Source organism: Homo sapiens, chromosome 11 (assembly GCF_000001405.40).
Source record: "Homo sapiens chromosome 11, GRCh38.p14 Primary Assembly".
Taxonomy (NCBI): domain Eukaryota; kingdom Metazoa; phylum Chordata; class Mammalia; order Primates; family Hominidae; genus Homo; species Homo sapiens.
This window is the reverse complement of record NC_000011.10, coordinates 72,012,843-72,037,430: the sequence shown is the minus strand read 5'-3', so window position 1 is coordinate 72,037,430 and position 24,588 is coordinate 72,012,843. Positions and strand designations below refer to the sequence as shown.

General features: G+C 47.6%; 1 protein-coding gene and 1 long non-coding RNA gene across 53 annotated transcripts in view, besides 3 other annotated features; one reads left to right on the top strand and one right to left on the bottom strand.

Moving 5' to 3' along the window:
• NUMA1 (nuclear mitotic apparatus protein 1) overlaps nucleotides 1-24,588 on the top strand; it is a 77,679-nt gene that overhangs the window by 43,112 nt on the left and 9,979 nt on the right. For 51 of the 52 annotated variants that reach the window (XM_047427023.1, XM_047427003.1, XM_047427016.1 and 48 more), the window contains 13 exons: nucleotides 1,456-1,529; nucleotides 8,141-8,226; nucleotides 13,078-13,157; nucleotides 14,284-14,366; nucleotides 15,012-15,092; nucleotides 16,140-16,227; nucleotides 17,814-17,937; nucleotides 18,451-18,608; nucleotides 18,918-19,035; nucleotides 19,131-19,248; nucleotides 19,604-19,744; nucleotides 20,901-21,023; nucleotides 21,171-24,536. In XM_047427023.1, the coding sequence (XP_047282979.1) occupies nucleotides 1,488-1,529; nucleotides 8,141-8,226; nucleotides 13,078-13,157; nucleotides 14,284-14,366; nucleotides 15,012-15,092; nucleotides 16,140-16,227; nucleotides 17,814-17,937; nucleotides 18,451-18,608; nucleotides 18,918-19,035; nucleotides 19,131-19,248; nucleotides 19,604-19,744; nucleotides 20,901-21,023; nucleotides 21,171-24,536 (4,608 nt within the window). In that variant the 5' untranslated portion in view covers nucleotides 1,456-1,487. The remainder of the gene's footprint in view (nucleotides 1-1,455; nucleotides 1,530-8,140; nucleotides 8,227-13,077; nucleotides 13,158-14,283; nucleotides 14,367-15,011; nucleotides 15,093-16,139; nucleotides 16,228-17,813; nucleotides 17,938-18,450; nucleotides 18,609-18,917; nucleotides 19,036-19,130; nucleotides 19,249-19,603; nucleotides 19,745-20,900; nucleotides 21,024-21,170; nucleotides 24,537-24,588) is intronic. The other variant, NR_104476.2, reaches the window with a different exon arrangement.
• Nucleotides 12,014-12,308: an enhancer, noted in NCBI's record as "tiled region #3523; HepG2 Activating DNase matched - State 12:CtcfO". NCBI's record gives its function as "activates a minimal TATA promoter and a strong SV40 promoter by Sharpr-MPRA in HepG2 cells {active_cell/tissue: HepG2}" and the evidence as "EXISTENCE:reporter gene assay evidence [ECO:0000049][PMID:27701403]".
• NUMA1-AS1 (NUMA1 antisense RNA 1) lies at nucleotides 16,512-23,140 on the bottom strand. The gene is made up of 4 exons (NR_104178.2): nucleotides 20,544-23,140; nucleotides 19,137-20,072; nucleotides 18,422-18,536; nucleotides 16,512-17,105 (listed from the first exon to the last, which is right to left on the bottom strand). It is a non-coding gene; the product is annotated as an NUMA1 antisense RNA 1 (long non-coding RNA).
• Nucleotides 18,383-19,582: an enhancer, noted in NCBI's record as "BRD4-independent group 4 enhancer chr11:71728895-71730094 (GRCh37/hg19 assembly coordinates)". NCBI's record gives its function as "activates an origin of replication core promoter dependent on BRD2, P300/CBP, MED14 and CDK7 cofactors, and independent of BRD4, by STARR-seq in HCT116 cells {active_cell/tissue: HCT116}" and the evidence as "EXISTENCE:reporter gene assay evidence [ECO:0000049][PMID:35650434]".
• Nucleotides 21,739-22,486: an enhancer, noted in NCBI's record as "H3K4me1 hESC enhancer chr11:71725991-71726738 (GRCh37/hg19 assembly coordinates)". NCBI's record gives its function as "activates a minimal SCP1, AML or CMV promoter by ChIP-STARR-seq in naive H9 embryonic stem cells {active_cell/tissue: H9 hESC(naive)}" and the evidence as "EXISTENCE:reporter gene assay evidence [ECO:0000049][PMID:30033119]".

Here is a 24,588-nt window from a genome sequence, read left to right as displayed (position 1 = left end):
GGGTTCACGCCATTCTCCTGCCTCAGCCTCCCGAGTAGCTGGGACTACAGGCGCCCGCCACCATGCCCAGCTAATTTTTTTGTATTTTTAGTAGAGACGGGGTTTCACCATGTTAGCCAGGATGGTCTCGATCTCCTGACCTTGCGATCCACCCGCCTTGGTCTCTCAAAGTGCTGGGATTACAGGCGTGAGCCACTGCTCCCAGCGAGGATGATCATATTTAGGAACTAAGAAAATACCTTTCGGTTGGCTGATAAATAGAGTATACTTGGATAGGAAGGACCAAGAGATAATGGGGAGTGAATTTTCAGATTTTCGTATCTCTTTCCCGTACTAGACAGTGAGCACCTTCTGGGCAAGAATGGTGTCTTTCTTTATCCCCAACTTGCATACATGAGACTGGTTCCACAGAGCCCACACTCTGGAGATGCTAATATATGGGGAGACTTACAAGTGATGTGGCTCTTACCACTCTTGTTCCTCCTTCTAGAGTAATTACAGACTGAGCACGTGTGGCAGGAGATGGGGGCAGGGCTCATTGTGCCCCTGGAGATTAGTGAAAATTGCAAGGGTTGCTAGGAGGTGTTGGTGAATATTTAGTTAATCTGGTCTGTGGTCTCTTGGGTGGGTTGGCAGGCAGGTGGCAGAATCTCAATGGGAAAGGAAATTGGGGATGAGAACACCAGGACAGGTGCCTAATTTTCATTAAATGTCCCATGGGATCTCCTCCGGAATTGGGCTCGACCTCATCCAGAGACCTAAGTTTGGATATTCTCAATCCCCCATTTGAACTGTGTTTGTGAGACATTTCTGTGGAGGATATAAAAATCCAGAAACTAGAACAGTTTCCCCAAGGACTTAGGTATTGTTAGGTACAATTTGGGTACCTGTAGAAAGAGCTAGAAATCAACATTTCTGCTTAAGAACAGTAATTATTTATTGACAACCTACCATGTGCCAGGCACCGTACTATTTGCTTTATCTTTAAGCATCACAATAACCCAGAGAGGTGTATGTGGATCCCATTTTGCAGATAAAGAAAAAGACTGAAAGAGGTTATGTTGCTTGTCTAAGGTCCTATGACCCTGGTCACATTAAATCAGCATCCAGACCCAGGTCTGTCTGAAAACCATGTTTGTTCCATATTTAAGGGCATCATGTCCCAAAGAGTAGGGTTGAAGGCCAGCTTTGGATGTTGTATTTTCTGTGGAACTGAAAAATTACATGGGGTAGACATTGAGTTAAATGCACAATTCTTTCCTGTCGTCTCTGATGTAAGCTCTATAGTAATTGTCATGTGTACTCAGCTTTCTAAAAATTCCCATGGTGTCTTGGTGGATTCAGTGAAGAGTGATTTAAGTGTTGAGAATTGGCAAATTGAACCATTTCGCCTTTATTTCTTGATCATGGATATCTGATATGATTAACTGCTTTTCTTCCTCTCTTGGGTTCCAGGCGCATTGGAGTGACTGTCTGGCATCACCAAGATGACACTCCACGCCACCCGGGGGGCTGCACTCCTCTCTTGGGTAAGTAGTCTTCCTCTCTTTTGTTGGCTATACTTCTCCAGGAAGCTTGAGAGAGTTAGGAGAGGAGTTTTGTAGGAGCCAGGGCTATGTAAAGTCTTCTCATTTCTAGACTAAATAGTTTTCCTTTAGACAGCATGGAAATGCATTTTCATCTGCTCTGTGTGTATTTTTCTGAATAAAAGGGTAAATGTGGGCCGGGTGCGGAGCTTATGCCTGTAATCCCAGCACTTTGGGAGGCCGAGGCAGGTGGATCACCTGAGGTCAGGAGTTCGAGACCAGCCTGGCCAAGCTGGTGAAACCCCCCCGTCTCTACTAAAAATACAAAAATTAGCTGGCTGTGGTGGCGGGCACCTGTAATCCCAGTCACTCGGGAGGCTGAGGCCGGAGAATCACTTGAACCCGGGAGGCGGAGGTTGCTGTGAGCCGAGATCACACCATTGCACTCCAGCCTGGGCAACAGAGCAAGACTCGGTCTAAAAAATTAAAAAAAAAAAAGGGGGGGTGGTAAATGCTGACCTTAATGATCAACATATGCAGGGACTTTGGTCTTCAAAGGCCTTTAATCTAGGACAAGGTTCTCATCACTCTCTTACCACCTTTCTGTCTGTTGCCATTGTCCATCAGCAAATGTTGCCTTGCCGATTACTTCATCAAAATTCTTTTGCTAGATCATTCATACATTTTCTACCAGAGACAGTGGCAAATGAAAAAATAATAGAGTGCATTGGATATTTAAAGCTAGAGAGGCTGGATGTGGTGGCTCACACCTGTAATCCCAGCACTTTGGGAGGCTGAGGCAGGAGGATTGCTTGAGCCCAAGAGTTCAAGACCAGCCTGGGCAACATGGCAAAAACCTGTCTCTACAAAAAATTAAAAAATCAGCTGGGCATGGTGTCGTGCACCTGTAGTCTCACCTACTTGGCAGGCTAAGGTGGGAGGATCCCTTGAGCCCTGAAGGTTGAGGCTGCAGTGAGCCATGATTGCACCACTGCATTCCAGCGTGGGCGACAGAGTGAGACCATGTTTCAAAAATATATATAAAAATAATAAATAAAGCTAAAGAAACAGAGGAGACCATGGAGTGTGGTGATAAATATGGGTCTCAGAGTCACATGCCCAGCATAGAATCACAGCACTGGTCTCTCTGACCCAGGGCAAGTTGGCCTCTCAGTATCTTCAGTATCTTTTTTTTTTTGAGATGGAGTCTTGCTCTGTCGCCAGGCTGGAGTGCAGTGGCGTGATCTCGGCTCACTGCAACCTCTGCCTCCTGGGTTCAAGCAATTCTCCTGCTTCAGCCTCCCGAGTAGCTGGGATTACAGGTGCACGCCACCATGCCCAGCTAATTTTTTTGTATTTTTAGTAGAGACGGGTTTCACCATGTTGGCCAGGATGGTCTCGATCTCCTGACCTCGTGGTCCGCCCTCCTTGACCTCCCAAAGTGCTGGGATTACAGGTGTGAGCCACCACGCCTGGCCAGTATCATTTTTTTTAATGGGGATGATTTTAAATTAAAATACCTCATAAAGTTCTAATTTCTCTTGGCACCATGAAAAAATAAAATAAAATATCTCATGGGGTAATTACAAGGATAATGAGATACATATAGTGTGCACAAGTACCCACATACATGCAGTCATTTAGCATGTTATCTCAATAAATCATAGTTCTTGACATTTAAAATACTTCCTGGGCATGCTAGTTGACACAGGATATTTTAGTATTCACCCTGAGTACTGATTAATCAGGGCCAATTGGAGAGCCAACCATTTTTCTTTTTTTAAAAAATAGACATAGAGTCTCATTCTGTTGCCTAGACTGGAGTACAGTGATGTAATCATAGTTCATTGTAACCTCAAACTTTGGGGCTCAAGCCATCCTTCTACCTCAGCCCCCCAAGTAGCTAGGACCACAGGGGTACATGCCATGCTAATTTTAAAAAACTTTTTGTAGAGATGGGGTCTTGCTAAGTTGCCCAGGCTGGTCTCAAACTTCTGACCTCAATTTTAATGTGACCTCAAAAAAAATACAATGTTTTATATTTTTGGTAGAGACTGGGTTTTGCCATGTTTCCCAGGCTGGTCTTGAATTCCTGAGCTCCAGTGATCCACCCGCCTTGACCTCCCAAAGTGTTAGGATTGTAGGCATGAGCCACTGCGCCTGGCCTAAGACTAGTTTTATTTATAGCAGCTACTTACATCCTTTTCTGAAAAGTCACAATAAATATGCATGAGGCCAGGTGCAGTGGCTCACACCTGTAATGCCAGCACTTTGGGAGGCTGAGGTGGAGGATCACTTGAGCTCAGAAGTTTGCAACCACCCTGGGCAACGTGGTGAGACCCTGTCTCTTCAAAAAATACAAAAATTAGCTGGGTGTGGTGGTGTGCTCCTGTGGTTCCAGCTACTTAGGAGGCTGAGGTGGGAGGATCACCTGAGGCTGTGGAGGTTGAAGCTGCAGTGAGCTGTGATCGTGCCACTACACTCCGGCCTGGACAATAGAGTGAAAGCCTGTGTCAAAAAAAAAAAAAAAAAAAAAAAAACAAAGAACATGCATGAAAATGTTAAAGTATAGTTATATGTGCTGGGATCAGTAGTGCACACCTGTAGTCCCTGCTACTTGGGAAGCTGAGATGGGAGAATTGCTTGAGCCCGGGAGTTTGAGGTTGCAGTTAGCCATGATTGCATCTGTAAATAGCTGCTGCACTCCAACCTATAACATAGCAAGAGCCTGTCTCTTAAAAATATATATAAATATAGTATAGAGAATGTTTTCAATTTAAACAAAAGTTGTGGAGCTAAAGCAAATTTTATGAAACTGTAGTAGCATGAAATAATGCATCTGTTATGTTAGTGAGAAGAGTGGCATAGAACATACACATACACACACATGATAATTCCAACTACAGTTTAAAAAAAATTACCTAGAAAAAACGAAAGAAATACATCAAAATGCTAAAAGTACCTGTATTAAAATACTAGAATTATTGGGAGCTCTGTTTTTTGTCTTCTGAATTTTCAGTAATTTATAACATAAAAATAAATTAGTGGTTTATTTTATTAATACTTAAATTATAGCTTGAAACTATTCTGTAAACAGCAGTTAATAATGAATAAACTGTTACAGGGTATTTTAAGATTTGACAACCTTAAGCAACCTTGCAATCCTTAAAGGCAACTCTTGAGTTATGTGGTGAGCCTGGTCCTCACTCTCATGTTTTATGCCCTGACTAGAGATGAAGGAACTTCTCTACTTCCTCAACTTTTAAATGATTTCTCACTTGAGAGCAAAAATAACTCACAGGAAGAAAAAATATTTTTATATCCATGAAAGGAACTGTGGCTGGATTATTACTTAATTGGTATATGTGATGAATCCAGATTCCTTAGGAGACTTTACATCAGCTAATTGGTATGATTTTTTAGTCTTGTTAGTGAACAAGCATCCATAGTCCTTGAATGTTTTACCTAGATTGCAGGTATTGATAGGAGATGGTTTAGCCTTGGCAGTCTCTTCATTTTCTGCAGGTAAAATGGAATCTTGGCCTGAAGTTTTCAGAATCTTCCTAGAAAACTTACAATGACCTGTCCTGACCAATTAGATTGAGCTTTTTTCAAAAGACAGTAAAAATATATTATAAATATATTAGCAAACTCTTTAAGACGTCAATAAGTCATATTTTATTTCACGTTAAAAAAAATTTTAATCTGTTTTAACTGGGATTCATCTAAAAGATTCCGCTTTTTGAGATAGGGTCTTGCTCTGTGACCCAGGCTGGAATGCAGTTGCAGCTTCATAGCTCACAGCAGCCTGGAACTCCTGCACTCAAGCAATCCTCTGCCTCCCACCTTAGCCTCCTGAGTAGCTAGGACCACAGGCATGCACCACCATGCTGGGCTATTTTTCCTTTCTCTCTCTTTTTTTTTTTTTTTTTAATTTTTTGGGGAAAGGGTCTTGCTATGTTGCCTAGGCTGATCTCAAACTCCTGGCCTCAAGCGATTCTCCCTCCTCGTCCTCCCAAAGCACTGGGATTACAGGCATGAGCCACCACACCTAGCCTAAATGTTGTATTTATTTATTTATTTATTTTTTTGAGACAGGGTCTCAATCCGTTGGCCAGGCTAGAGTGCAGTGGTGTGATCATAGCTCGCTGTAGCCTTGACCTCCCAGGCTCAAGCGATCTTCCCACGTCAGCCTCCCGAGTAGCAGGGACTACGCGAGCATACAGGCGCAAGCCACCTCACCCAGCTAAAAATTTTTTTAAATTATTATTTTGTAGAGCCAGGGTCTCCTTATGTTGCCCAGGCTGGTCTTGAACTCCTGGCCTCAAGCAGTCCTTCCACCTCAGCCTCCCCAAGTGCTGGGATTACAGGCATGGGCCACTGCGCCTGGCCTAAAAGTTGTTTTTAAATGTGAAAGTGTTTAACTCAAATAAATACTATCATGTCTGTAGAGAAATCATTGATTTTTAAAAATCCTCTTAATTCTATAGTGCATGCAGCTAACTTAACTATTAAGAAATACAAATGTTATGTCTACTTCATTATTTTAATTTTATTAACCATAATAGTGCTTTATGTTTATTAGTTTTTCTTTTTTCTTTTTTTTTTTGAGATGTCTCTGTTGCCCAGGCCACAGTGCAGGGACACTATCATAGCTCATTGTAACTTCTCCAGCTCCTGGGCTCAAATGATCCACCTACCTCAGCCTCTTATGTAGGTAGGACTTACAGGCACATGTCACCATGTCCAGCTTGCTTGCTTGCTTATTTATTTATTTAGTAGAGACAAGGTATTGTTATGTTGCCCAGGGTGGTCCTAAACTCCCAGCCTCAAGCAGTCCCCCTACCTCAGCCTCCCAAAGTGCTGGGATTACAGGTGTGAGCCACTGCACCTGGCCTACTTTATATTTTTTAATGTGTTCTTGCATCCATAATCCCATTTGAGCTCACACTGGTCCTTTGAAGTAGATAAAGTAGGGATTCCATCCATTTGGCAAGGGAGGAAACTAGTGCAGAGAGAAATAAAGTTTGTAACAAAGGTTGCTGGCAAGTTTGTGGAGGAGCTGGGCCCAAAGTGTGTATGTACTGGCTCCCAGCCCAAATATAGAGAACACATTTGTAAGCAATAGAATCTAGTTGTCTGCACATAACCACTATGCTGAAGTTCTTTAAAATACCTTGTTTCTTAAAGCAGGCTCAGTCTCTCTCCCCTCTTAGTGTTGAATATGTGAATAATTAACTTAGCAAACCCTTTCTTCCTATAGTAATAAAAACGTAAACTTCAGCCCAGGCTACTTCTGAACTGTAGTGCCTGTGGAATTCATGAGGTTTTCCTGTAGAGGTTGACCATGTATACTTATTGAATAACCTGTGTACCTGATGTGTGTGACCCCTGGTGAATATTCTAGTGGTAAAAACTGATTTAAATGTATGCCTATCTGAAGCCAAAGAATGGGAACAGGCAACTAAATTAGAATTAAGAAGTTTTTCTTTGAAATTCCCAGCTCCTATTCTTTCATCCCCCACCGCCCCCTTTTTTTTTCTTTTCTTTTCTTTTTTTTTTTCCTTTGGAGACAGGGTCTTGCTCTGTCACTCAGGCTAGAGTACAGTGATGCAATCCCAGCTCACTGCAGCCTCGACCTCCCTGGGCTAAGGTGATCCTCCCACCTCAGCCTTCTAAGTAGCTGGGACTACAGGTATGTGCCACCACTCCTGGCTAATTTTTTGTATTTTTTGTAGGACAGGGTTTCACCATGTTGCCCAGGTTGGTCTTGAACTCCTGAGCTCAAGTGATCTTCCCGCCTCAGCCTCCCAAAGTGCTAGGATTACAGGTGTGAGCCACCGCGCTTGGCTCCCTCCACCCCCTTTTTAAAAAATCATCTTGTTCCCCTATTGTTTTTCCCTTCTCCCCTCAGCCAAAGCTTTATGTGTGGAAAGAATAAAAATGTATTAATAAGATTTTATATCTTTGTGGGAGTGTATAGCATATATGTAATATTTAAGTTTTGAATAGATATTTCAAAACTCAAGAGCCACAAAGGGCTATAATATAAAATGTATTAATAAGATTTTATATGTTTGTGGGAGTGTATAGCATATATGTAATATTTAAGTTTTGAATAGATATTTCAAAACTCAAGAGCCACAAAGGACTATAATATAAAAATCCAAGGGATACAGAAACTTATAATGTAAACGTTCAAGAAATACAAAGAGCTATAATACATTCAAGAGCTACAGAGAGTTATAATGTAAGAGCCTTTCTTTTCCCACCTCAGACTCCCTGCTGTCAAGTTCCTCTCTTTAGAAGCAGTGGTAGTACCAATTTATTGGTGTATCCTTCCAAAATACTCCCAGTGCTGGAACATCTTAGGAAAGTTTAAGCTTTTATTTAGTTGAAGCCAAAGGAAGGGCTCTCTGATGGTTGCATTTCAGGTGGCTGTAACTGGATGAGTGAGTGCAACGGCACTCCTTCCTGAAATTAAAAACCTGAGAATCATCAGTTCTTGTATTCCTATAGTCTACAACTGTAAGCACTCACATTAAGCCTCTGGGAAAAGGAGCAAACCATGTTGCTTCTAACGGTCTCACTAGGCTGTTCCCTTTGATTTACAGGTGAACAGTCTACACGTGGCTGACCCTGTGGAGGCTGTGCTGCAGCTCCAGGACTGCAGCATCTTCATCAAGATCATTGACAGAATGTGAGTACGCACCATACCCCTTTCTAGCCTCTAAGGCAAAGCTGATTGCTGGGGTGGGGGCTGTACTTGTTCTCTTTACTTGATGATGGCTATGACCAGAAATCAGGGGAAGGATTGGGACATCATAAGCCAGGGTGGGGCCTAAAGGCAAGAATACATTGACCTCATCTTCCAGTTGCTGTACCACTCCATGGGAGAGGTTTTACGCTTGTCCCATCCTGAGGCTTCTGCATTCTTGCACAGGAGAACCTCCAAGGCTCCACGCCCTCACATTCTTCCAAGTGCTCACTCTTGGGTTCCCCATCTCTTGTCTCACCAGAAGGCTTCTACAACCCTCCTTTCTTGACTCATCCCTACCCTATGCCACAAGCCCTCTTTGCAGCCTTCTGAGGGAAGAAAGGGGAAGCTCTCACATCTGAAGGAAAGAAGAAACACCTAGAAATCTCATCTCTAACTTGTTAGCACAGTACAGATATGCCTCTTTCTAAGCCATTATAAAATAAGTACACTTCTGGGGTTTTTACTGCTTCAATTAACTTGATTTCTGAGGTCCATGAGCATTTAATAAGCTTGTTGTTACCATGCAGCAAGGATTGTAGTTTGGCCTTTTGGTCTGTGTCTTTAGCACATTTCCTTTGAACGTCACAGTTATCTCGGAAATGAATAAAGTGGGGCTTCCTCCCAGTATCCTACCTTTCTGGGACCAAGCATAGGTCAGTTGTCATCTTTTTTTTTTTTTTTTTTTTTTTTTTTTAAGAAAAAGCACATTAGATTGTTTGCCCCAGGCCAAGGATAGACTGAAGTGTTGAAGGTGTTTATGTGCCATACGTGGCAGTTAGGAACTGGTATCAGGGACTCATATCTCTGAAGCAAGCACTTTAGCTACCTGTTCATAGGTAACAGCTCATTGATAGGGAAAGAAGGTAGAATTAAGCTTATCAAAGGCTAGAACTGTGTCTGATTCATCTTGGGGTCCTCCCTACCTAGCTTAGGATGCTACATTGTTTAGGTTTTAGTGAATGTTTGTTGAGTGAAGAGATGAGTTGGTGTTCTCTATCAGCAAGGTCTAGCGGGGCCAAGTGGCCCAGGACAGATGGGTCTGCTGCTAAAGTGGTTTTTATTTGAAGTGTGTGTTGATCGTGGGTTATCTTACAGGATTTTTTAATATTCCATATGGCTCTAACCAGGACCTGCCTTAGTACCTCTGAAAGAAGTCACTATTCTTATTTTGGTCCAGACAGTACCATTTTCTCTCCCAGTTACCCAGGCAGGACATTTCAACATCATCTTGACTTCTCTGTCTCCTTGGCGCTGATCTCTAATTGGTCATCATCCTCTCTGCTCACATCCAGCGTCCCTCCCTCTGCCTCATTCTGGATACTAGGCCCTCATGGCCTAGTTCTTCTCTAATCTGCCCTTATTGCAGTTCATTCCTATGCACGAGTTCTCAAGAATCTTTCTCAAATCTTGTTTTCTTTGTGACACTTCAGTGACTCTTCATCAAACCTCAGTGAATATTCATTTCTAATAGGTAGAAATCTAAAATCTTCAGCCTGGTGTTTAAGATCTTTCATCAGGGGGTCATTTCCTCTCACCAGTTTTGTTTCCTGCTTTTTTCTCTCCCCACTCGACACCACCTCATTTTTTTTTAATCTTATAGAAATCCTTAAATCCTGGATTTTGTTAATTGCATTATTATGGTACGGCTTAACTTGTTCCACTATTCCCCTTGTTGCCTATATACTGATAATTAGATCTAAGCTTGATTCACTTTTTTTTTTTGTCAAGGATACTTCATAGTTGGGGTTGTGTACCACCTGTAAGTCAGCATTTTGCAACTTCTGTTGAAAATCATTATTTTGCAAACCCTAAGGAAGTGATAGATCCAGGCACCTGACATTAATGGGTGGTAAAACCATTAGTCTGGCAATACCTAACTCTCTGTTTAATTTTAACCTCACTAAAAGTGAAGCAGCCAGGTATAATATGCCTTGTATTGTAACACACAATATGGGGCAGCATGCTTTTTTGACTTCAAAATAGATCAAGGAACTTTTGCTTTTGAAGAGAGAAATTTCCTTGGCCTGGTGACAAGAGCAGTAGATGTGCCCAAGAGTAAGGATGTGTGTTGTCCTTGGGTTAGCCACTGTAGGTTTATAACCTGCTAGGAAATTTTCATAGGAAGGGCCAAAAATTCAAGATGCTCATTTGCAAGTTGTCTTCTAGGGTGTTGCCTGAACCTAGGCTGCAGTAGAAGTGGGGCTTGGAGGTAGGCGATATTGAAATCCCAGGTTAATGCTAATCTCCATCTCAGATCCAGGACAATGCAGACCAGCTTCCTTTTGGGAAATGGAGGTTCTTAGTTAATATGTTCTGGCTCTTACATTTCTGATACCGCTACTGGTGCCAACCTAAATCAGCAGCCTAGTTCTCAGCAGAAGGCAGCAGAGGATGGCAAGGTTGGAGGGTAGATAGAAGCTGTGGGAGTTGGGTGGCTCCTGTCTGCACACTGGACAAGGGGCACCCTGAGAAAAATAATTCTTTAAAAAATTAAAAAAAAAATAAGCTGTGGGAGTTGAGGGTTTAACTGCTTGGCCACTTGGCCTTCTCTCTGGGAAAATTAACTGGGATCAACCCCTCTGACAAGTTTCCCTTTTGGTTCTTCTGTGCGTGAATAGTCTAAAGCAAAAAAGGCTGTCCCGTCTGTTTGATAGCTGTGAAGCTTGAATAACAGAGTATAGTGGAGGCATTTTGCCAGAAAACTTAGAGGTCTGACATTTTTGTCTTGCTGACTTTTATTTCTGCTCTTCTCAGTAAAAAGCATCCCTCAGTTGTCAGTCAGCCCATATGTATTGAGCACCTACTTTATTCCTGGCTTTCAGCTAGTGCAGTTGGAGTGGGCAGTTGTAAATGGTGCAGTTGCATTCATGAGTGCTGCAGGAAGACCTGGAGGACAGCCGAGGCATGACTGGCAGGAGTTGTGGATGGCTTCCTGACAGAGATGAGACTTCAACACAGTCTTAAAGGATGGGCTGGATTTCTCTAGGACTACTGTTGTCCAAAGTATGCTCCATGCAGCTTTACTTACACCAGGCTTTGTAGGGGGTGGGGGAAAAGGGTTTTGTGGTCAAATAGGTTTAGGAAATAATGCATGTTGTATCTTCTTCTATAAAAAATGTTCAGTTTAACCCAGCATTTTTTAAACATTTCACCTGAGAACCTCTTTTTATTTTAGTTAATGGAATACTCTGAGGTAAATATTGCTCTACACTGAGCCAAGGAGTCACAACATTCCAGATTGTGGGTGGGTAGGGAAAATGGCTCATTTGGGAGTCTGTAAGAGATTAGCATCTCCTCAAGACTTTGTAGGAGTCTCTGATCTCAGACCAACTATCCAGACAGAGTGCTTCTGGGAGGGATTCACTTGGAAGAAGCCTGTGTAATCACATGGGGTATGGGGGGAGGTACACTCATAGTCTTGGCTTGGATGATGCTTATGCTTGCAGGATGTCTCTGGCATTGGAAGGTTCTGGGCCTGCCCTGCCCTCCAGAAAGTTGGCTAAGAACTAGGAGTGTAGATTCTGAGAAGCAAGGGGCCCACTAATCAGGATCTCCCACTGTAGCCTAGAGAATTCAGCTTTCTAACTTGAAGTGGTATTTCACCTGCTGCTTCTGAAAATGGAACTGCAGTTAGCTAGGGGATCCAGCGAAGTTCCCCCACTAGGTTGAAGGCTGAGATGGCAAAAGCCTCCCAGAGCAGGATCCCAGGGACTAGTATTCTTTTTTTTTTTTGGAGACAGAATCTCGCTCTGTTGCCCAGGCTGGAGTGCAGTGGCATGATCTCAGCTCACTGTAATCTCTGTCGCTTGGGTTGAAGCAGTTCTCCTGCCTCAGCCTCCTGGGCTGTGTGAGAGCTCCCCCTGCTGTCTCCCTCTCCTCATGGCTCTCTTCACACTGCCCGCTCTTCCAGTTAAGCAAGTACAGACAAGAACCACTAATCAAGAATACTAGTCCTAGCTGGGCGCAGTGGCTCCAGCCTGTAATCCCAGCACTTTGAGAGGCTGAGGTGGGTGGAGGTCAGGAGTTTGAGACCAGCCTGGCCAACATGGCGAAACCCCATCTCTACTAAAAATACAAAAATTAGCCGGGCGTGGTGGTCCATGCCTGTAATCCCAGCTACTTGGGAGGCTGAGGCAGGAGGATTGCTTGAACCCAGGAGTCAGAGGTTATAGTGAGCCGAGATCGTGCCACTGCACTCCAGCCTGGGCAACAGAGCGAGATTCTGTCTCAAACAAACAAACAAACAAACAACACTCTAGTCCCTGGGATCCTCCTCTGGGAGGCTTTTGCCATCTCAGCCTTCAGCCTAGTGGGGGAACTTCACCCTGTCACTTCAGAGCCTTGTTTCCTCCTGTTCTTTCAGTTCTTGGATGTTTTTCCCTCCCCATGGTCTTCTCTCACTCTTAACCTAGGTGTGTTCTCCAGGCTTCCTGACAGTTTAGAGTTGAGCCATTCCAGATGGTGTAATATAGCTTCCCGTTCATCTGTGCTGCCTCCGTCTCCTCTCGGCCCCTTTCCACAGAGCTTTTTTATGTTTGCAAATAGGGTGGCAGAGTGCCATCTTTTCCAGAAGAACCCCATGCCTCAAGTCCCCTCTTCCCACCCACCACACAGTTCCATCTGGATAAATGGTGTCCTGGTATCTGTCACCTGCCTCCAGGATCTGATCTGGATCTCTTCCAGATCCAGCAGAGATCAAGACTGGAAGGAATGGGGAGGTACTATGAAATGCAGCAGCAAGGAGGCAAAGATTGCTGAATACTCTGGTCCTAATACTTGCTCTTTTTCTAGCCATGGCACTGAAGAGGGACAGCAAATCTTGAAGCAGCCGGTGTCAGAGAGACTGGACTTTGTGTGCAGTTTTCTGCAGAGTAAGCACCTTTCTTATCCAGCTATGAAGAAGCTGCTTCCTCAGCTCGTGGGATTGGAGAGTCCAGAGGAACTAGTTCATGGGTGTCTGGAGGAGAAAAATTTCAAGGCTCCCCACTCTTTAACACAAAGATGAAAACAGCTGGTTCAGATCCCCTGGGTCTTGTGATGCCTTCATCAGTTGGTGTAAGAAGAGTGTCCCTTCAGTCCCAGAGCCCTTCTCGGAGATCTAGGTGGAGCCAGAAGGTTACTTTTTGGGACCTGTCACTTTTAACTCTTTGAGCACCTTAAGTTTCTGTTTCCCCGAACTTCAAGGAGACAGAAGAGAGAATGAGTCTCTTTCCCTTGCAAGAAAAACTGTTTTTCCCAGATAACTTTGAATTAATTGCTTAGGCGATAGGTGTAGGGGCAGAGGCACATTAAGGTTGATCTTGACCCCCCTCACTGCTTGTGTGACCTTTCTGGACATAGGTTCCCTATCTATAATATGGAGATAACTGCTCTTCAAGTGGATGGGTGGATTAAATAAGAACACATGCAAAGCTTCTAGTACAGTGCTTTTCAGTTCCCCTCCCCTTGTCCAGCCTTAGACCACAGAGTCCTCGTCTTTGACATGGGGAGCTAGCTGCCATCTCCACCCCTAGAGAATTATAGGAAAGGTGAGGCTTTATTTAGATAAAGTAAGGTGTTAGTAATTTGAGCCCAGACCCTCGGGCAGTATAAGAGTCACGTATCCCTAGTTGTCCTTTTCTGACTCAGCTATAGGTTTACTCTGTGACCTCAGTTGGAACAGGATTCTAAAGTGACCTGGCATCTCTGGGCTCTTCCTCTGTGGTGCTGAGAGTTGGTGAGTGGGTGGGAGAGTGCAACATCATGACCCAGAGTTGCTGTGAATTCCGAGGCTGCTTTCTTCTTCCATTATCCCTGTAGCCCTTGGATTGACCCAGGATAGAACTGACTTCAGATGGAAAATTGTAAGGCAGGGGAAAGAGGCCATAGGAGTAAGGAGGCCTACATCTCATAGCCCCACCAGAGATAGCCATTCTGCTCCCCAGATTTCAGTGTTCTGGGATCTCAGGTATGGTTTCCAGGAAGTTCACCCTGTTTTCTACGTTGTTGTCATTGCAGAAAATCGAAAACATCCCTCTTCCCCAGAATGCCTGGTATCTGCACAGAAGGTGCTAGAGGGATCAGAGCTGGAACTGGCGAAGGTACCTATGGAATACCAGACTGGGGAGGCAGGGCAGGGTTGGGGTGATGGTACCTGAGGGACCCTGCAGGGCCTTCTCTTAACCCAAGGGGAGATGATGGGTGCTTTATTTCTGGGGCTCTAGTACGTTGGAGGTAGAACCAGGCAGCCACCTGTCTTGAGACAGAGGCTAATTTAGCCCAAGGATTCTAGGAGCCCATGATCTTATGACAGAGATTATGAAACAAACAATGGTTTACTAGACCATTACTGTGGGCCTCGGTGGAGACCTGGCAGAAATCAGGTCTCATTCGGCTATCACCATATTTTTATTATAGCTCAGTCTTAAGTCATTCCCTCTGCTCTTTCTGGGTGCTGGCCTATAGAGGGTACCTAAAGCTTCACACCCAGGGTTCCATGAGTCCAGGAATTGAGCCATGCAGGAATCTTGGCGCTCAGCTTTTTGTACAGTGTACACTATCCTTAATTAAAAAAAAAAAAAAAAAGTGTTTCCTGGAGCTGTTAAGGATGGTGGCCTGGGATTGCTGAATTCCAGGACTTTTAGAAGAGTCACCGGAATAGCTCAGAGTCCCCAGAACAGCCCAGAATGGGGGCACTGAGAAGAGAGACAGCCCCACTCAGTGACTGCCTCCTGTTTGGCTTCTAGATGACCATGCTGCTCTTATACCACTCTACCATGAGCTCCAAAAGTCCCAGGGACTGGGAACAGTTTGAATATAAAATTCAGGTAAGCCCTTGTGCCTCCATGCCACCTAGCAGGCCTAGCCCATGCTTCACCTCACCTGACTTGTTTTTCTTTGAACAGCAGATACTGGACTTTTTAAAAATACAGTTATAGCAATTATTGCCATTCATCATAGAAAGTCTGGGAAACGTTGAAAAGCATGCAGGAGGAAATAACAGTTGCCGATAAACTCATTCCCAGAGTTTGCTAACTTTTTAAAGGATGTACTTTCAAGTCCTTTTTTATGTGCATATGTTTAACTGTAATGTGTTTTAGGATAATACGTAGAAATTATTCTCTGTTCCTATATGTGTTTCTGTGTGTGTGTGTTTTTTTTCCCCCACAGAACTTTCACTTCATTTATCTCATCCTTTCCTCTGGTAGGGTCATCTGGAAGAGGCCAACATAGTTATATATAAAAGCTTCCTGGCCGGGCGTGGTGGCTCACGCCTATAGTCCCAGCACTTTGGGAGGCCGAGACAGGAGGATTGCTTGAGGCCAGGAGTTCAAGATCAGCCTGGGTAACATAGCGAGACCCTGTCTCAACAAAAAATATTTTTTTTAAAAAAAATGAGCTGGGTGTGGCAGTGTGTGTCTGTAGTTCTAGCTACTTGGGGAGCTGAGGAGGAGGAGTTGACTCCAGGAGTTGGAGGTTATAGTGAGCTATGATTGTGCCACTGTACTCCAGCCTGGGTGACAGAGCAAGATCTTGTTTCTTAACAACAATAACAATAAAAGCAACTTTCTGATTGTGTTACTTTCCTTAACAGTCACTTCACTTGTGGTCAGGAGTTAAGTCAGTCAGGAACTCTGACTTCGGTACATCTTGAGGGGAGGTGGGAGGGAAGGGGACAAGTGGGGTGAACATATCTCTAGTTGAATGTTGTTGGCTGGGTCATAGGACCTCAGCTCTGAGAGGGAGAATGGGATCCAGCAGGCTCCTAGGGCATGAGGGAGCCGGGGACTGGCACTGCCAGGGTGGAGCTCCTGGCAGCCATCCCTTCAGAGGCCTAACACCTAAGTGATGCTCTTTTTCTCCCTGTGGCCCAGGCTGAGTTGGCTGTCATTCTTAAATTTGTGCTGGACCATGAGGACGGGCTAAACCTTAATGAGGACCTAGAGAACTTCCTACAGAAAGGTAAGTAGGTACACACTCCTGAGAATCCCCTCATCTCTGAAATGGGGAATACTAGGATCCTGAGTTGTCAAGTATGGTGGGGGTTTGTTTCTGTCCCCAACACAAGGCAGAGTTGATGCTCAGGAAAAGTGTGTGTAATGGAGTAGGTCGATTTCTGGGCCATGTTGTATCATCTCAGTTCCTATGGAGCTCCTCCTTGCTGCCTGGCAGCAGTTATGTAGGATATTTACAAGTGATCATACCTACTTTTGTTTTTTATTTTTTAAACAATCATTACTCTAGGCTTAGAAGCTGAGAATACAGTCTTTTTATTTTTATTTTTATTTTTTTTTGAGACAGAGTCTCTCTCTGTCGCCCAGGCTGGAGTGTAGTGGTGCGATCTCAGCTCACTGCAATCTCCACTTCCCGTGTTCAAGCAATTCTCCTGCTTAGCCTCCCGAGTAGCTGGGATTACAGGCGCATGCCACCACACCTGGCTAATTTTTGTATTTTTTGTAGAGACGGGGTTTCACCATGTTGATTAGGCTGGTCTCGAACTCCTGACATCAGGTGATCCACCTGCCTCGGCCTCCCAAAGTGTTAGGAATACAGGCATGAGCCACTGCGCCCGGCCCACAGTCTTTTAAAAAATGTTTTTCCCGTCATGTAGTGCATGTTCTAGGTGGAAAGGCAGATACATAAACCAGGAAATAATGATAAGGAATCTAAGTACGGAATATATCAATGGCCTCGGCTGGTACTACAGTAGAAAGAGTGATCGTTCTGCTGGTCTTCTGATGAAGAGGTCAGCTGGTGGATGATAGGAATGTAAGAAGGAGGTCTAGGCGAGTTCTAGCCGTTGAGTTTGATGTTCCTTGTATTCAGGTTCCTCATGAGACCTTCAGGTGGAGATGTTAGAAATGTGAGTCCAGAATTCAGGAGCAGGCTCTGGACCAGAAGATAGGTTTGCAAGTCAGCATTGGATGGCCACTGAAGCCGTGGGCACTATGGGCAGAGCCAAGAGGCCCCATCAGATCTCTGGGAGCTTAGAGGGTGGGTAGAGGAGGGAGGAGCAGATGAGGAGACTTAAGAATGGGTGATTAGAGGTAGGAGAGTCCTACAAAAGGGGTCACGGAAACCACGGAAAGAGAAGGGTTTTGAGGAGGAGGGCATTTTGGAGGTGCAAGGCTTCAGGGGGGATGAATTCCAAATGGTGGCCAATGGCTCTGATAGGAAAGGTTGTTGGGGGCTGCAAGGAGATCCTGCTCAGGGCTCCCCAAGCCGTCTCTGCAGTGTGGACTCGAGGAAAAAGCTTGAGCACTTGGTGCAGTTTCTGAGCCAGAGGACACCGTCACTCCACTGTGCTCTGAGTAATGATGCTCTGTAGAAATGGAAGCCCTGCACTTCATTTTGGTTAGAGACACGGAACTCTGGATAACCCAGGCACCAGGTTTCAGGTTCTGCCCAGTGCCTTCCTTGGTAGTTTACATATAAGTATCCATGGATATACTCCCACTAAGGCGAGTTCTCAAATTGCATAAAGGTGCAAATCTTTACACCTTCTTACTAACCTTTGTTGATTTATTTTGTCTATTTCTTACCCCCAGCTCCTGTGCCTTCTACCTGTTCTAGCACATTCCCTGAAGAGCTCTCCCCACCTAGCCACCAGGCCAAGAGGGAGATTCGCTTCCTAGAGCTACAGAAGGTTGCCTCCTCTTCCAGTGGGAACAAGTATGTTCTGGGCCTCTCCTCCTGGGATAGGGCCTCAGCATCCATCCATTCCTCACATTCCTAACTTCTAGAGTTAAGATGTTAACCAGCCTCTGGGAGTGCTTAGAGTATCCGGTAGATCTGGGATCTCCTCACCTCACCCAGTATTAACTGGGGGAAGTGGTTGGGATTTGTCATGTGCAGAAGGCCTCCCTCAAAAGCTGTTCCCTGTTTATGGAATACCCTTCTTCCTCGGAGACTACAATGAAGTCTCTTCTCTTAGCACATCTCTGCAGAGCCAAGGAGAATATATCACTTTTTTTTTTTCTGACAAAGAAATTAAGGCAGTGAGAAGAAAAGTTTTCCCAAGATCATGTCATGAGGCTTGAGGTAGCACTGCAAACAACCCAGGTGCACAGGCCTCCCAGCTGCTAGTGCGCACTTCCATAGACCCCGCTCCCTTACTGCTGCCTGTTGCTGATTGCTTCAGATCTTAGGCGCTTACCAATGCATATGGGCCTTCTCCCTCCTCAGCTTTCTCTCAGGTTCTCCAGCTTCTCCCATGGGTGATATCCTGCAGACCCCACAGTTCCAGATGAGACGGCTGAAGAAGCAGCTTGCTGATGAGAGAAGTAATAGGGATGAGCTGGAGCTGGAGCTAGCTGAGAACCGCAAGCTCCTCACCGAGAAGGGTAGGTGGCTGGCACACTGGCAGATGTGTGAATAGACTTGCCGGAAGGATGTCCCCTGGCCTCCCATGTTGTCCCCTCTGCTGGCCCCTGGAGCTGAGAGCTCAGCCCTGGGCCTGTGGTCAGGCTGACCTCCTGGAAGCTAGGTTCTGTCTTTGTCCCCATCTTCTCTTTCCCTTAGATTGGATACCATATTCCTCCTCTTCCCTATGCCGTCTCCTCCCTTCCCCTTGTGCACATAGTTCTGTGCACATAGTTCCGCTCATGCACATAGTTCTGATTCTCCTCTCCTCCTCCCTCCACTCTGGGCAGATGCACAGATAGCCATGATGCAGCAGCGCATTGACCGCCTAGCCCTGCTGAATGAGAAGCAGGCGGCCAGCCCACTGGAGCCCAAGGAGCTTGAGGAGCTGCGTGACAAGAATGAGAGGTACAGCTCTCCCTGCATTCCTTCCCAGGCCCCAGCCCCTCCCCTCACCCAGCCAGGAACCCATACTCTCTTCTCACTGCTTCCCTCCCTCGCAGCCTTACCATGCGGCTGCATGAAACCCTGAAGCAGTGCCAGGACCTGAAGACAGAGAAGAGCCAGATGGATCGCAAAATCAACCAGCTTTCGGAGGAGAATGGAGACCTTTCCTTTAAGGTGGGTGTTAAGGTGGTGTGTGCATGGAGGCCCCTCAGGGCTGAGGTGGTCTGGAAGGCTCCCCAAGAGAGGGTTGAGAAGAATGTCCCAGCACCTGTCTTATGCTTCAGTCTCTCCAGAGACCTGCATATTTTGCCCCTTTCCTTATCCCATAATTGGCGGCTTCCCGGGTACTGGGCTGTGACCCTAAATGTTGATTTGTAGTTCTGAATTAGAGGTGTGATGGCTGTGATTGGTTTGTAGAGGGTTGGCAGGATAATTGGAGGCATCCAGCCCCTGGGGTTCTGGGAGCAGACAGCAGTGGTGGGGTCAGCGTTGACTCTGGGTGATGGGGATTCTCACTTGCCCGTCTCAGCTGCGGGAGTTTGCCAGTCATCTGCAGCAGCTACAGGATGCCCTCAATGAGCTGACGGAGGAGCACAGCAAGGCCACTCAGGAGTGGCTAGAGAAGCAGGCCCAGCTGGAGAAGGAGCTCAGCGCAGCCCTGCAGGACAAGGTAACCCTCTGCTGGGGTCACAGCCACAGTCTTGACCACATGTGCAAAGCTGAGTCCAGTTTACCACTGTGCTCTTCTGGGCCTTTGGGTATTAAGTTGCTTTCTCTTCAAGGTTCAATAGTGTGCTGTAATTGAAAGATTGTGGGCTTCAGTCTAGTACACCTTTTTTTTTTAACTTATTTTTTTTTTCCCCAGTCAATGCCCTCACTTTATAGTACACCTTTCAATCCTATCTCTGCTGTTCACAAGATGTGGATCTTGGACAAGTTAATCAGTCTGTTTTTCTAAGCATCCTTTCCCTAAAATGGGAGTAGTAACGAGTAGCTGCCTCATCACCTATTATGAGAAAACGTATGTAAAGCACTTCACACATCGTGTAGTGTAAAGTAAGCTCTCAGTGAACCAGTTGTGATTGTTACTATTGGTAAGAACCCAATTTGGCCACTTACTAATAACCATGTAGCCCTTGATCAAGGCACTTAGCATCTGCTTCAGGTTCTTGCTCTGTAAGAGGAATGGTAGTAGCTGCCTCCCACATAAGCTGGGTGTGGTGATGCATGCCTGTAGTCCCAGCTACTCGGGAGGCTGAGACAGAAGAAGCTCTCGAATCTGGGAGGTGGAGGTTGCAGTAAGCCAAGATCTCGCCACTGCACTCCAGCCTAGGCGATAGAGCGAGACTCTGTCTCAAAAAAAAAAAAAAAAAAAAAAAAATTAGGGATGAACCCAGCATAGCCTATTGTAGGTGCTTAGTGAACAGTGGTGAAGAAGTGGGTTTGGGACTGGGGGTTGCTGCAGCTGCTGCCAGTGGTATTGCTGCCCAGAGGATGGTGGGCAGCTGGTGGTGATTTGGATAATCTAGGACTCAAGACTTATCTGAGGAAGGGTATACGGTAAGGAAATTTGAAGTAAACTCAGCAGCCTTGGGGAAGTAGTAAGCAGGTTACATTATGACTTTATTGTGCCTTAGAACTAGGTCTAGAGAATCAGGTCCCTCATGCTCCCAGTTCCATGGTTTCTGCTTTTTTCTAGGCCAGGGCAAAAGGAGATCTTGGTAACAAGATGATGGGCCCCATGTTTGCTGATGTTTATGAGGGCTTGTGTGGTAATCTGGTGCCTGTTCCCCCTCTCTGTTCACATGGGTCTCATTTACTCCCAGAAATGCCTTGAAGAGAAGAACGAAATCCTTCAGGGAAAACTTTCACAGCTGGAAGAACACTTGTCCCAGCTGCAGGATAACCCACCCCAGGAGAAGGGCGAGGTGCTGGGTGATGTCTTGCAGGTAGGAATGCACAGAAAGACCTGTGTGCTGCTGGTTGGTGTGGACTCACATTCAGTACATTTGGGTTCCTGGTGTTCCTCCATTTCCAGAGGAGTCTTGATGACTGAGGAGTCATGCTGATCCCAGTTTGTCTCTTTATACCACCAGCTGGAAACCTTGAAGCAAGAGGCAGCCACTCTTGCTGCAAACAACACACAGCTCCAAGCCAGGGTAGAGATGCTGGAGACTGAGCGAGGCCAGCAGGAAGCCAAGCTGCTTGCTGAGCGGGGCCACTTCGAAGAAGAAAAGCAGCAGCTGTCTAGCCTGATCACTGACCTGCAGAGCTCCATCTCCAACCTCAGCCAGGCCAAGGAAGAGCTGGAGCAGGCCTCCCAGGCTCATGGGGCCCGGTTGACTGCCCAGGTGGCCTCTCTGACCTCTGAGCTCACCACACTCAATGCCACCATCCAGCAACAGGATCAAGAACTGGCTGGCCTGAAGCAGCAGGCCAAAGAGAAGCAGGCCCAGCTAGCACAGACCCTCCAACAGCAAGAACAGGCCTCCCAGGGCCTCCGCCACCAGGTGGAGCAGCTAAGCAGTAGCCTGAAGCAGAAGGAGCAGCAGTTGAAGGAGGTAGCGGAGAAGCAGGAGGCAACTAGGCAGGACCATGCCCAGCAACTGGCCACTGCTGCAGAGGAGCGAGAGGCCTCCTTAAGGGAGCGGGATGCGGCTCTCAAGCAGCTGGAGGCACTGGAGAAGGAGAAGGCTGCCAAGCTGGAGATTCTGCAGCAGCAACTTCAGGTGGCTAATGAAGCCCGGGACAGTGCCCAGACCTCAGTGACACAGGCCCAGCGGGAGAAGGCAGAGCTGAGCCGGAAGGTGGAGGAACTCCAGGCCTGTGTTGAGACAGCCCGCCAGGAACAGCATGAGGCCCAGGCCCAGGTTGCAGAGCTAGAGTTGCAGCTGCGGTCTGAGCAGCAAAAAGCAACTGAGAAAGAAAGGGTGGCCCAGGAGAAGGACCAGCTCCAGGAGCAGCTCCAGGCCCTCAAAGAGTCCTTGAAGGTCACCAAGGGCAGCCTTGAAGAGGAGAAGCGCAGGGCTGCAGATGCCCTGGAAGAGCAGCAGCGTTGTATCTCTGAGCTGAAGGCAGAGACCCGAAGCCTGGTGGAGCAGCATAAGCGGGAACGAAAGGAGCTGGAAGAAGAGAGGGCTGGGCGCAAGGGGCTGGAGGCTCGATTACAGCAGCTTGGGGAGGCCCATCAGGCTGAGACTGAAGTCCTGCGGCGGGAGCTGGCAGAGGCCATGGCTGCCCAGCACACAGCTGAGAGTGAGTGTGAGCAGCTCGTCAAAGAAGTAGCTGCCTGGCGTGAGCGGTATGAGGATAGCCAGCAAGAGGAGGCACAGTATGGCGCCATGTTCCAGGAACAGCTGATGACTTTGAAGGAGGAATGTGAGAAGGCCCGCCAGGAGCTGCAGGAGGCAAAGGAGAAGGTGGCAGGCATAGAATCCCACAGCGAGCTCCAGATAAGCCGGCAGCAGAACGAACTAGCTGAGCTCCATGCCAACCTGGCCAGAGCACTCCAGCAGGTCCAAGAGAAGGAAGTCAGGGCCCAGAAGCTTGCAGATGACCTCTCCACTCTGCAGGAAAAGATGGCTGCCACCAGCAAAGAGGTGGCCCGCTTGGAGACCTTGGTGCGCAAGGCAGGTGAGCAGCAGGAAACAGCCTCCCGGGAGTTAGTCAAGGAGCCTGCGAGGGCAGGAGACAGACAGCCCGAGTGGCTGGAAGAGCAACAGGGACGCCAGTTCTGCAGCACACAGGCAGCGCTGCAGGCTATGGAGCGGGAGGCAGAGCAGATGGGCAATGAGCTGGAACGGCTGCGGGCCGCGCTGATGGAGAGCCAGGGGCAGCAGCAGGAGGAGCGTGGGCAGCAGGAAAGGGAGGTGGCGCGGCTGACCCAGGAGCGGGGCCGTGCCCAGGCTGACCTTGCCCTGGAGAAGGCGGCCAGAGCAGAGCTTGAGATGCGGCTGCAGAACGCCCTCAACGAGCAGCGTGTGGAGTTCGCTACCCTGCAAGAGGCACTGGCTCATGCCCTGACGGAAAAGGAAGGCAAGGACCAGGAGTTGGCCAAGCTTCGTGGTCTGGAGGCAGCCCAGATAAAAGAGCTGGAGGAACTTCGGCAAACCGTGAAGCAACTGAAGGAACAGCTGGCTAAGAAAGAAAAGGAGCACGCATCTGGCTCAGGAGCCCAATCTGAGGCTGCTGGCAGGACAGAGCCAACAGGCCCCAAGCTGGAGGCACTGCGGGCAGAGGTGAGCAAGCTGGAACAGCAATGCCAGAAGCAGCAGGAGCAGGCTGACAGCCTGGAACGCAGCCTCGAGGCTGAGCGGGCCTCCCGGGCTGAGCGGGACAGTGCTCTGGAGACTCTGCAGGGCCAGTTAGAGGAGAAGGCCCAGGAGCTAGGGCACAGTCAGAGTGCCTTAGCCTCGGCCCAACGGGAGTTGGCTGCCTTCCGCACCAAGGTACAAGACCACAGCAAGGCTGAAGATGAGTGGAAGGCCCAGGTGGCCCGGGGCCGGCAAGAGGCTGAGAGGAAAAATAGCCTCATCAGCAGCTTGGAGGAGGAGGTGTCCATCCTGAATCGCCAGGTCCTGGAGAAGGAGGGGGAGAGCAAGGAGTTGAAGCGGCTGGTGATGGCCGAGTCAGAGAAGAGCCAGAAGCTGGAGGAGAGGCTGCGCCTGCTGCAGGCAGAGACAGCCAGCAACAGTGCCAGAGCTGCAGAACGCAGCTCTGCTCTGCGGGAGGAGGTGCAGAGCCTCCGGGAGGAGGCTGAGAAACAGCGGGTGGCTTCAGAGAACCTGCGGCAGGAGCTGACCTCACAGGCTGAGCGTGCGGAGGAGCTGGGCCAAGAATTGAAGGCGTGGCAGGAGAAGTTCTTCCAGAAAGAGCAGGCCCTCTCCACCCTGCAGCTCGAGCACACCAGCACACAGGCCCTGGTGAGTGAGCTGCTGCCAGCTAAGCACCTCTGCCAGCAGCTGCAGGCCGAGCAGGCCGCTGCCGAGAAACGCCACCGTGAGGAGCTGGAGCAGAGCAAGCAGGCCGCTGGGGGACTGCGGGCAGAGCTGCTGCGGGCCCAGCGGGAGCTTGGGGAGCTGATTCCTCTGCGGCAGAAGGTGGCAGAGCAGGAGCGAACAGCTCAGCAGCTGCGGGCAGAGAAGGCCAGCTATGCAGAGCAGCTGAGCATGCTGAAGAAGGCGCATGGCCTGCTGGCAGAGGAGAACCGGGGGCTGGGTGAGCGGGCCAACCTTGGCCGGCAGTTTCTGGAAGTGGAGTTGGACCAGGCCCGGGAGAAGTATGTCCAAGAGTTGGCAGCCGTACGTGCTGATGCTGAGACCCGTCTGGCTGAGGTGCAGCGAGAAGCACAGAGCACTGCCCGGGAGCTGGAGGTGATGACTGCCAAGTATGAGGGTGCCAAGGTCAAGGTCCTGGAGGAGAGGCAGCGGTTCCAGGAAGAGAGGCAGAAACTCACTGCCCAGGTAAGGTACTCAGCCCAACCACCCTCCCAAAGATCAGGAGCTGAGAGCGCGG